The sequence below is a fragment of the Homo sapiens genome, chromosome 12 (genome assembly GCF_000001405.40).
Source record: "Homo sapiens chromosome 12, GRCh38.p14 Primary Assembly".
Lineage (NCBI taxonomy): Eukaryota > Metazoa > Chordata > Mammalia > Primates > Hominidae > Homo > Homo sapiens.
In genome coordinates, this window is record NC_000012.12 from 16030522 (window position 1) to 16042594 (window position 12073).

At 37.1% G+C, this 12073-nt stretch overlaps 1 protein-coding gene across 3 annotated transcripts in view, besides 1 other annotated feature; it reads left to right on the forward strand.

The window, feature by feature from the left end:
* The window catches only part of DERA (deoxyribose-phosphate aldolase), a 126050-nt gene extending 119190 nt beyond the window's left edge, over positions 1-6860 (forward strand). For all 3 annotated transcript variants that reach the window (XM_024449001.2, NM_015954.4, NM_001300779.2), the window contains 3 exons: positions 2021-2133; positions 5711-5860; positions 6169-6860. In XM_024449001.2, the coding sequence (XP_024304769.1) occupies positions 2021-2133; positions 5711-5860; positions 6169-6225 (320 nt within the window). In that variant the 3' untranslated portion in view covers positions 6226-6860. The remainder of the gene's footprint in view (positions 1-2020; positions 2134-5710; positions 5861-6168) is intronic.
* Positions 354-648: a silencer, noted in NCBI's record as "tiled region #3277; HepG2 Repressive DNase matched - State 9:DNaseU". NCBI's record gives its function as "represses a minimal TATA promoter and a strong SV40 promoter by Sharpr-MPRA in HepG2 cells {active_cell/tissue: HepG2}" and the evidence as "EXISTENCE:reporter gene assay evidence [ECO:0000049][PMID:27701403]".
* Positions 6861-12073: the final 5213 nt, after the last annotated feature.

Consider the following 12073-nt stretch of genomic DNA (forward strand, 5'->3'; position numbering starts at 1 on the left):
GCCTAGCTCAAGGCCTTTACACTTTGTTTTCCTGCTTGTAATGCTATATCTGCACATTTCCTTCATTCAATCTCTATTTGGATTTGATTAATTAGAGATGCTCTTATGATAACTCTTTAAATATAGCTGCCCCTCACCAACTCCATCACTCTCTATCTCATTACATTGTATTATATTTCTCCATAGAACTTATCTCCACTTGACATTTGTTTCTTTATTGTCTTTCTCTTCTAGAACACCTGCTCACAAAGGCAGGAACTTTTTGTTCATTGGTTGCTCTATTCCCAGCAGCTTTAGAGCAGAGTCTGGCACATGGTAGTACTCAGTAAATATTTGTTGAACAAATGCATGCATGGTAGTCATGTCTCCACTTTCTCCCAGGCAGCCTTACAGACCCAAAGAAATGAAGGCTTCCAGTGACCTGCTCTGATGCATCAGTGTCCATGGAATTTGTACAGATTGCAGTCCTACTTAAGTCCTTGCTTCATTTCTCTTTGTATAATAATTGACAGTTTTCAAAGTGCTTGCTATGCGATTGTCCCTTTTGATGCTTTGTGTAATACTATGAAGCAAGTGGGAATTTCTTAGACCTGTCGTACAAATGAGGAATGTAAGGGGATGGAATTTCAAAGGTAACTATCAGAGCCAGAGCTAGAAACCAGATCTCCTGACTTCTAGCTCATTTGGTGATTATGCGGGGTTTACGTTTCATCTCCACCCGTGTCTACATTGTATGGTTTTGAGGGCAAGGTCTTGAATTTTTTGTATTTATATTTTTCCATATGCCTTATACACAGTGTGCTTAATAAAGGTGTGTTGCTTTGGGCCTTTAGGCCACTTCAACTTTTATCTTTGACTTCGTTAATGGACTTTGGGAGGATCTCAGAGACTTGTTTTAGGTATGGTGCCACAGATTCCATAGGTTAGGGCCATGAATTTGCACACAAATCACCTAGGAACTTTGGTTATGTTAGATTCTGATTTAGTTGGTCTGGTGTAGTGCCTGAGATTATGCATTTTTAACAACCTCTGGTAGTGCCCGTGCTGCTGGTACATCTTCCACACTGACTATTTCAGGGCCTTGTAACACGTGAAAGAGGTATTCTTTGTTTGGGTATCTGACTGTGTGAACCTAGGTAAGTTTATTGGAGACGCTGTGATGTATTGTTTAGGCTAGATTACTTTGGTTAAAATCCTACCTTTCCATTTACTGTGTGATCTCAGGTAACTTACTTAACTTTTCTGTGCCTCAATTTCCTCTTTAAAAGTAGAGATCGTATTACTATGATCTCTATTTGTAGCTCATGCAGGTATTGACTGAATTAATACTTGTAAAGCATCTAGATTCATAATGCATGGCACTCAATGAATCTTAACTACTGTGATCATTTCTTTGTCTCCTTGTGTTATTTTGTTAAACTACATTAATAGGTTTAAGATACATTTGAAGGAAGGAAGTTGTTTAAGATATTTGCAAGGTATGAAATAGCGTGGTCTCTTTCATGGAAATGCTAATCTGGTTGGAAGACAGTTCTTTCATTAATGAACAATGCAATAGAAATCAGCTAATGGTGATTCTTCTTGAGCTGTCACAACTGTATACTGTGTACTTTTCATTAAGCATGAGCAAATTAGGAGAAAATGAGTAGGCACTCCTGTTTTGTAGTAAAATGTTACGATGTATAATATTAAGCATAGGGCATAAAATTGTTTTTATTCATCTCAGTTATGTATTAAATGAACCAACTTGATTTTAATTGGCATTGTGGAAATATGGAGGCAAGAGTATCAGAGGTCAGTGAGAATATATTTGGTGCCTAATACAGTGATGGTAAGGGGGAAAAAGTATGGACATAATCATTTTAAAGGGAGATTTTGGTTTTAGTTTTTCCAATAATTAATGAAAAATAACATTGGGTTTCTTCGGGAAAAAATTTACACAACTCATTTCTCCCACTGACTCAAAAGTGTAAAAAAAGAATCTTTAATTAACATGGAGTTTTTCCTCTTTTTGTTTTAGGATCAGATTTTATTAAGACCTCTACTGGAAAAGAAACAGTAAATGCCACCTTCCCGGTAGCTATAGTAATGCTGCGGGCCATTAGAGATTTCTTCTGGAAAACTGGAAACAAGGTATATTATTGCCAGCAAATCTTTCTTCAGAGTAAAGATAATGTTATTTATAATACTAGTTACAGCCACAATAACTGTCTTTATATGGAGAAGTTGTGAATGAATTACCTTTATTAAGATAAATGTTTAATTTACCTTTCATTATAAAAGAACACACTGATGGAGAAAAATTGTGATGAACAGAAAGTGAGTTGTGAGTGTGGGAGTGAGTATGTGTGATCAAGATGTAAACTCACTTTATGTCCTTTTGTTAACCGAAGACAATTTTGTCACTGACAAGAGATTCCTAAATGGGTTCTTTAACGAACTAATTCTGCTGCAACACAGAGGCTTTCTCACAAGGTGTTGGCCAGTGAAAACAGGTTAATGCAGAAATTAAACTTCCTTGAGGAATGGAAAGAATTGCAGAGTAACATTTATTGAATGATAAGCTGTGGTGGTGATATGAAAGGTATGCAATATAATGGGAAACAATCTTTTCCTGTCATTATTGAAGGACACACATAAATTGGTTTTTCTGTTGGGAAACCCCCGGTCCAGAAAAACTTATTACTTTTAATAATATGAGGTGAAGAGAAAATTCTCGAGGAGATGAACTTATTAAACAAAATAATGAAATGCTGTGAAACAGCAGGGAAAAGGTAGCTAGACGTTATATAGCTCTTGAATTAAATATCAATTTTTGCGTTTTATGGAAGTTGGATGTGCTCTTTGGAAGACTGTTAAGCTGAGGAGGGTGTATACTAGTTTTTGTCAGCTTTTCGAAAAATGATACATATTTTTTGAAACATATGAAGTTAAAAGGAAAAATGCGTATGAGTTGCTTTTTTAAAAATGAGTTTGGATTTTCCTTTTCATCTCAAGTTACTTGTTTAGCTGCAAATTATCTCAAAGGATTTTTTTTTTTACATGATTGGAGAGCAAGGTTGTGTGTGTGTGTGTGTGTGTGTGTGTGTGTGTGTGTGTGTGTTTAATGACACTTTCCCTTCCTGAGAGGCATCTTTTAAATCCAGTCTCTTGATTTGTGCCAAATAGAAACCCAAAAAAGACCTTTAATCCTTTGTCCATTGGATGTGATGACTTTATATGTAAGTGTAGCTTCAGTTTATTTTGGAATAGTGACCTTTTTTTTAATATACTGTTTTATGAGAGGAAATAAACTCCTTCCAGAATTTTCTCACTTAAAATAACTTCACATCTTAATTACGAATAGGATAAATATCTATTGTGAACTACATGAGAAAGCTGACCCAACTCGAATAACCTCTACCTGGTATCCTTTCTGCAACAATCCAAATAAGTTAAAAGAGTTTTTGTTTAGATAAGCTGTAAAAATGATAAATCTATCTTTGGTCCTCAGTTGAAACTACCACCACTCATTTGATTGTGATTCTCATTCTTAGCCAAAGAATATCAAAACCAAATGTGAAGCTTTTCATACTTACAGATGCCTGGGCCCCCATCCCTGGTGGTTTTGGGTCTGGCATAGTCTTCAGGCATCTGTTTGCATTAAGTTCCATTGCCAGGGTTCAGACCTGCCATTGGGGACCCAGTCCTGTTTTGTTCTCAACAAACATTTATTGGGTAGTTAACCATGTGCCATGTTAACCTGTGTTAAATGCTAGGAATGGAAAAATGAGTATGTTCCTTCTCAGGAGAGCTCTTAGACAACAAGCAAAGAATGTCAATGAAATTTTTAAGTGCTCAGTGTTCCAGGCCAGAGTACAGAGGGAGGGACACTTTGCTGTCTTTCAGTCCTTTCTTTTTAATTGTATTGATTCTTTTCCTCGGTAATAAATAAGTCCATCCTAGTTTTATTAAGAAAAAGACAGGTACAAGCCAAATTGTATTCATTTAATCATATTCGATTTCAAACAAATAGGTTCTGTGTATGTGTTTGCAAATCAGGTGCAGCCTTTCGGGTTGCTTGACAAGTTGCTTGGGCAGCCCTTAGACTATAAAGTTTCTACGTCATTGATTTAAGGGTGTTTTAAAATGCGATAGGCTAGCTTCCAGACCATGATTAGTGTCACTCCTGAGAAGCAGAGGTTTAATATTTCATAACTGATTTCATTGCAGATTTATGTCTTCCATATTCTCTTTAAAAAAAAAAAAGATAAACTTATGTTAGAACCTCTCTGGAAACAGACTTGCTGACACAAACTGAACTGTATAGGAAATCTGTAAGAAGCACTGCCTAATTGACAAAAATGGTCCTATGATTAACATGTATGCTAATATCAACTAATTGATTTTTTTGGCTTATTCTCAACAAATAACCTCATCCTACTTAACCCCCTACTACCTTACAGCTTGGGCTCCAGAGTAATAGCAGATATGGTTGGAATCCGTGCACTGCTACTGCTTAGTTGTGTGACGTTGTGTAATTGAGGCAGGGAAACCAGTTAAAAGACTTTTACTGATATTTCCTGTGAGAATTGATAAGGGTCTAAACTGAAACAAGTGAGAGTGCAGTGGAAAGAGTGCATGTGAGGGGGTAAGGAAGGTAAGGAGGTAGAATTGTCAGGACTTAAATATTGATTGGGTGTGGTGTGGCCAGGGAATGGTGGAGTTTGGATTAAACTATAAGGTTTCCTGCTTGGGTTGATAATAGAATATATTCATTTAATGTCTCCCTTCTCTAGCATTCTGTTAGCAGTCATCTGCTGGTGCAACCAGTCATAGCCCTGAGTGATAAAACGTGAGAGATTTAGTACTCAGGCTCTGAGGTGTTGTTTTGACCACTACCATCTACAGATTCCCAACTCTACTGGATAGTCAGGTTCCTGAAACATGTAAATCCAGATAATCAGAGTTTTATTGTATATGGAACATATCTTTCATTTCCTAATGGATCCAGGGACATCATTTACGAATATCAGATATTGGCTGAATTCAGCTGTGTTATGATCAACCTTAAAGACTACTGGACTATGAGGAGCCCCTCACGGTGTTTTTCTACTGCCCTTATGTAACTGGTCTGCCAGCTTTTTAGAACTGTGTGTGCCTGCAACTTAGAAAAAAAATCCCACAGTTAAATTGGTTAAAACAACTGTCAACTTTCCTTGCTTTTTTGCTGCCAGTTTGGTTAGGGTAACCTTGCAGCCTTGCTGATTCTGTCCTTTGATTTTAAATGCACGTGTCTTTTGAACCTCAAGATGAAGGCTGAGAAGTGACTCTACAGGCTTACTTGTGGAAATGTAGAATGAGTGGGCTTTGCTTTTGTGATCTGTTTTCCTATTTATTGACACCTTCCTTGTTTATTCCAGGTTCACAGCTATAGTCTAGATGGTGGAGGTTTATGACTTTCCAATAAGTGAAATGTTAATGAGGGTTATTAACCCTCACTAGTGTCTGTTTGGAAGTAGTGACATTCTTCCAAAAATCTTGGAAAAGTTGTTTTGTAGTGTGAATGAGCATGAGTCACTGATCTAAGCCCTTTCACTGGATGAAGTGAAAAGATTTTTTTTCAACAAAAGAGGGAGAGAGAGAATCAAGACTCTGATAAACATAGTACTATTTTTAAAAGAAATCCAATAACAATAAAGATTGTTCTATTCTCTGCCTTCCCATTTAGATAGGGTTTAAACCAGCAGGAGGCATCCGCAGTGCAAAGGATTCCCTTGCTTGGCTCTCTCTTGTAAAGGAGGAGCTTGGAGATGAGTGGCTGAAGCCAGAACTCTTTCGAATAGGTGCCAGTACTCTGCTCTCGGACATTGAGAGGCAGGTGAGTAATCATCTCTGTCTTTGGAATAAATTAACAAGTGTTTTTTGAGAAAGGAATTGAAAAGTCAAATTGAGAACTGGAGATAAAAACTCATCTGATTGACCTCATCCTACCCAATCCTCTACCTTTTCTTCCAAGCAAACCGCCATCAGAAGTGAGTAGGGTGGAGATTCTGCTGAAGCACATACTAGTGAGGCTTTCTAATGAAATGTTCATTAAAACTATTTATTATTATTTGATAGTATAATTATTAACTGATGTGTATAATTATAGAATGATTGTTAATTAAACTCTGCTTTTCCTCACAGATTTACCATCATGTGACTGGAAGATATGCAGCTTATCATGATCTTCCAATGTCTTAAATCAGTCACCAGTTCCAGAAAAGTTCTTTACGACAATGTTTAAAAATTATTTTTCTACGTAATTGCTAAAATTATTTAATTAAAAAATTGGGCAGTAGGTAACTGGCATTCCTCTCTTTAAAATTTCTACCGAACTTAATGGAATGGAAAAAGCAAACTCATCCACATGTGGTACTCATTTCAGGCACATCTGAAATGATCTTAATTACTAGAAGATCTGCACTATTAACTTTGTGAAGAGTTTCTCCTAAAAACTTTAAGTAAAATGTTAATGGTAGCTTTGATAACATCAAATTCTAAGGGAGAAAAAAACAATATTAAACCGCCCAAGCAGTGTGCCCTAGCAGAGGAAAATGCAACATCTCGCAAGCGCTGCTGTAACGACTTCAGGAGTCACTGATTCAGCACTAATTTCCTGCTGTGAAAACTCATCTTTCATTTTTGCCGTGGATAGGCGCTTTTATTAATTGTTGTCCTAATGAAATTTCTGACATTGTCATATACAACGATGAATATCATTAAAATTTTTAAAATAATAAAGTTCCTATAGTTTATTTTTTTAAAAAACTTAAAAATTGTTACAATACATAATGAAAAAATAATCCATTAAACATAAAAAGAGGTTTGATCAGTGAGTCTCTGAATCTCTCTAGTTGATTCCTTGGGTATATATCTGTAAAACACCCCAGTATGTTATTAATGAATGCAACTTATGTATGTGTTCTGAAACTTCAAATTTTCTGGTATAGTGAATGGAGGAAAACAGTAGATATTAACAGCACTTGCTGTGTAATAAGCTTTACATATATCAATTTATTTAACTCTCATTTAATCCTCATAATAGTAAGGTAAATACAGTTAAGGGTTTTGCTTCTTATAGCAGTAAGTACTCATGTAAACATCCTTTTATACAGACAGGGGAATGAGGAACAAAGAGTTTAAGCAACGTGCCAAAGGTTGCTCAAAATTAGCAGAGTTAAAAATCAAGCCCAAGCAGACAGGCTGGCTCCCAAGTGCGTGCAGTCACCCCCATGTCTCCCTGTCCCTCGGTACACATAGTCAGGTGTACATAAACAGAGCTCCCCATCAGCTGAGAGGACGGTAATCTGCCTCATGGTGGCTGGCTTTTTTGCTCTCTGTCTGTCCCAGCCTCGCTCTTCCGGAGATTCTGCTTGCTAGCACCTCTACCACGTTACAGAATGTGTTTCTTTGAATGGTGATTTTCATCAGGAGAGTCTTTTTCTTCCCTGAATGGCTCTCTAGTTGCTCATAAGCAAAAACCTGGACTGGAAGTCAGTTTTGGTTTCATCTTCTCACCTGCTGAATTCTAGCCTGAACTCTCCCTCTTTCTGACTTTGACTCCTTGGTCCAGTCAGTTCACATCTCTTGACCTCAGTTTCTTCATCTGTAAAGTCATTGGGTTGGGGCAAATGATATCAAAGTTCTTTCAGACCTAAAATTATATTACCCTAAGGATAATTAGAACAAATTCAAGAAAATGTTTTATGGCTAAAAAGAGAAAACACTTTTGTACCAATCTAAATTAGAATTTGCCTCTCGGGAGACAATTTAGCAAGTCCCTCAGAGCACCTCTCTAACTGTAAATGAAATGACTAAAATAAGAATAGAAAAGAAATTCTGTTTTTCCCCAGTGCCTTAGCAGGATGCCAACTTTTGACTTGTGCCTTTGGATATGGTCAGTGGCTCCGAACGCCATATCCAGCCTCACAATATGCTAGCCCAGGTGCCCACCAGTGCAATGGCCAGTCACCTTTGGAGAAGAAACATTCCAGAAAAATAATTACAGTCTATCACCTTTGAAGCTATTCCAATTTCACAGGGGTTTCTGTTTTCCTCCCATTAAACCCAGCTGGTCATTTTAGTTGATCAAGTGAACAGGTATCATTATCTTCAATTTTAATTTATATGAGGCATCCACTGAAATTGACCTCTGTGGACAATTACAGATTCACATAGGAAATTAAGACTAGTGAGTCCCTCAGACCTATTAGAGGCTGATGAGCATGGCCTGATCTAAAGGTAAGTAATGTTATATCTGGGGGGCAAATTTATTCCAAGGACTGTGGGGCTCTTCATCTGGGAATGTCTGCCCATCCTTACCTGGCTCTTGAAATCAAATGTAACACAGATGACTTTAATAGGAACACCCTCATTAATGTTGATTGCTATGAAAACATAAGAGGAAGAGGTCATTTCTGAGGTGACTATGATTTACTACAAGCTGATTTGTGTACTTCAGAACATTGGGATCAGATGCTTTACACAATCAGAAAACGACCTTCTATGTTCTGTGTTTAAAGCTTCTAAGTTAATAAAGCACCCTGCCTTGTTGCAATTGTTCAGTAAAGCATATTAGGCTTTAAAGTTATTTTTGAAACTATCAGTCATAATTTGGGAGCATAAAGAGACTTTAGAGAACATCTAGTAACACTGTCTTTTTTTTACATTGAGAAAAGAAGCAGACTGGAGAAGTCACTTGTGCAAGGTCACATAGAATGTCAGAGCTGATGCCAGAACGTACATCCCTACCACATGACGAAATATTTTACAACACATACCCTGGTCTTTGGAACTGAAAATTCCTTGCTTGTTTATGCACCCTGCTATACCTAATCATGTTTGTCAGCATGTGAACTTAAGACTTACAAGAGATTCACTTTTGAGTCTTCAAAATGGTGTTTTAGAGACCAACCTTCTCAATCTAGCCCAAGTGATAGTTTGATAGCATGGTTGATTTCATCTGTTAGAATCTCAGAATTTTGGATGACCTCTAGAACTGATTTTTTTTAAAGGTTGAATGTTACTTTGTTTTGTTTTAAGGAAGAAAAAGACACGGGGGCTTGTTTGGATTCTAATTTGTATACACGTGGAAAGGAAATGACATGTAGTCACAAAACAGTTTGATAATTAAAGTATTCTTGCCTCATTCTGGATTATTTGAACACTAATGAGAAATTCAGACAAATTGGTTCACATGAAAAATAATTTGTAAAGAGACCTGTGGTAGCAGTGGGAACTGTTACAGATATCTGGAAGTGCATCCTCACAACAACATAACACAGTCTCTGAGCAGAACAGTTTGCTATGTCATACATACATGTCTTACAGAAACCAAATCTGTTTCTTTGGAAAAATTAACTTACACTTCTAGTACAGAGAGAAGCCAGCATTAATTTTTCTTCCATCAACCTGATATTGTACACATCATAAATAGGGCCACAGTGCAGAGGTATAAAGAAGAAGAAATAATTTGAGTAGGTCTTACCTTCCAAGACAGTGAAATGTTATGCCCATTTTGGTGCTACGAAAAAGGTATGAGGTGAAATCAATTTCTACATTTATTTTCCTGATCACACTCAGGAGTTCTGCCTCCCAAAGAAAATATGTATTTTATAACCACCACCAAATGATCCTTTTTAGAAATGACCACAGGTAACATCTGGCTGATACATAAAATATGTAGTAAAAATAATCATTTTTAATTAACTAAAACCTGCTCAGGAGAGAGTCAGAGGAATATCCATCTGGTCAATTCACACTTAATAGGACAGATGAGGATCAGGATGTTTAATGCAATATACGTGAAATACTTACTGACCTTAACAATGAACTAAAACTTTTTATTGGGAAAAAGAACACAGATGAGGAGGAAGAATTGGAATATCTAGAAAGGACAGACCTAAAATTTGATATTTTTAGAAGTACGTCTTGTAAAACAGGTAGAATATAAGAAACCTAGGTCATATGGCATTAGTTTCTGTTTTCCAATGACAGGGAATGTTTTCATTTGCACAATAAAATAAGGTTATACTTTATTCTGGAGATTGGCAACGAGTTTTAAGAAGTGCTAAGTATCTTATAAGAAGTGATGATAAGTAAAAGGAACTGGGATTATTTAGCCTGAAGAGAAGATCAAAGGGTACTTAATGTCTGACAATCCCAGGAAAAGTTACTTCTATATTAGAGTTTAGTAACACAGTCCTGTATCTCCTCTGTTGAAGAAGAAATGGAATTTATGCTACATGTGAAGTTAGGTTAGTTCTAGGTAAGGACTCCCTTAATGGACTAGAATGTGTTATTAAGAAGGTACATCTTACTATTCTCAGTAGTAGACTTGTCTTTGTGTTTGATGGTTTAGTTGTGCTGCCAAAAAAAGTGTTTCTCAAATGGAATCACTGGGAGGATTATATGAAATAAGTCTGATCTCCACCCCCAGAATTTCCAATTCAGTAAGTTAGCTGTAAAGCCTGAGAATTTGTATTTCCAACAAGTGCCCAGGTGATGCTGATGCTGTGCTCCAGGAACCACACTTTGGGAACCACTACATTAGAAATCTTTGCACTCAATACCTGGATTCCAAATTAAATGCATCTATTAAGCAGTAAAATCCACCAGCTGCAGCACTTCTTTATCATGAAGCTCTAGGATAAATGTGTATATTTTGCTGCTTTTCATAGCCAAGAACAGGAGAGGGGACAATGGAAATGACATTATCCCTTAATCCTTTCACACTAGGCAATGAACTTGATTTCACTTTGGGTTTAAAAGCAAGCTTTGGAGCCTAGAATAAATTAGATGAATTTAGATGAATTTAGAATCATTATCCATAAAATCTCCAAAGGATTTTAGCAAGCCAAGATTGTAAGATTCAGCTGTATTTGATTCTGCCAGTCTGGAATGCTATAATTTTTGGTGATTTATTTATAATATACATTAAAATCAAGACATATTTTAACAGAGCCCATTCTTTAACTTAGAATAGATAAGATGTTTTAGGGAATGGCATGTTTCACAGATACTTGGCTTATTTTGAAAGTACTGTGTAGATGGTCTCTAGAGCACATGAAAATGTTAGTTCCTTGGTCTTTTCCATATAAAAGCATGTTTTAAATTTGGTTTTTGCTTTTAAGTGTTTGCTTTGCCAGTGCTATACTGCACGTAGGTACGGTTCTTAATTGTAAGCAACAGAACTCTACCTAGTTTAAGCAAAAAAAATTCTTAAATCATGCTGTCTTACAGAATATGCAGGATGGCCAGATAGTGGGAAATTTTATTAGACCGTTCTTGCATCGCTATAAAAAAATACCTGGGACTGGGTAATTTATAAAGAAAAGAGGTTTAATTGGCTCATGGTTCTGCAGGCTTTACAGGAAGCATAGTGCTGGCATCTGCTCAGCTTCAGAGAGGCCTCAGGAAACTTACAATCATGGCAGAAGGTGAAGGGGAAGCAGGTACATCACATGGTGAAAATAGGAGCAAGAGGCAGAATGGGGAGGTGCCACACACTTTTAAATGACCAGCTCTTGAGAGAATTCTTTATGGCAAAGACAGCACCAAGCCATGAGGGATCTGTCCTGATGACCCAACCACTTTCCACCAGGTCCCACATTCAGTATTGGGGATTATAGTTCAACATGAGATTTGGGCAGGAAAAAATATCCAAACTACATCAGAAATAGAGGCAGCTTGGTAAGAATAATGCCCAAACCACTCTTTAGAAAACTGCTCTTAATCGCTTCTTGGTCTTTTGGCTAAGATGAAGTGTAGACCTGATGGTACTGCCTCAGGGCACTTGATACCAGAACCCCTGCCTTTGCCTTCCCTGAAAGTTGGGTTTATCCCAGTGGCCAAAGATGAATTCCTCATGTTGATCTCTTGGGTATCCAGTTCCTGTCTGGTTATGTCTAATTGTTACAGTGTTGGCCACATCCCTGTACCTTAGCTGCAAAGGAAGCTGAGAAAGCCAAGTTTTGGCTGCCTTCTTGGGGAAAGGGGCATATCATGTTCAAAAGATAGAGGATGGTCAAGCATCATCACAGTTGTCAAC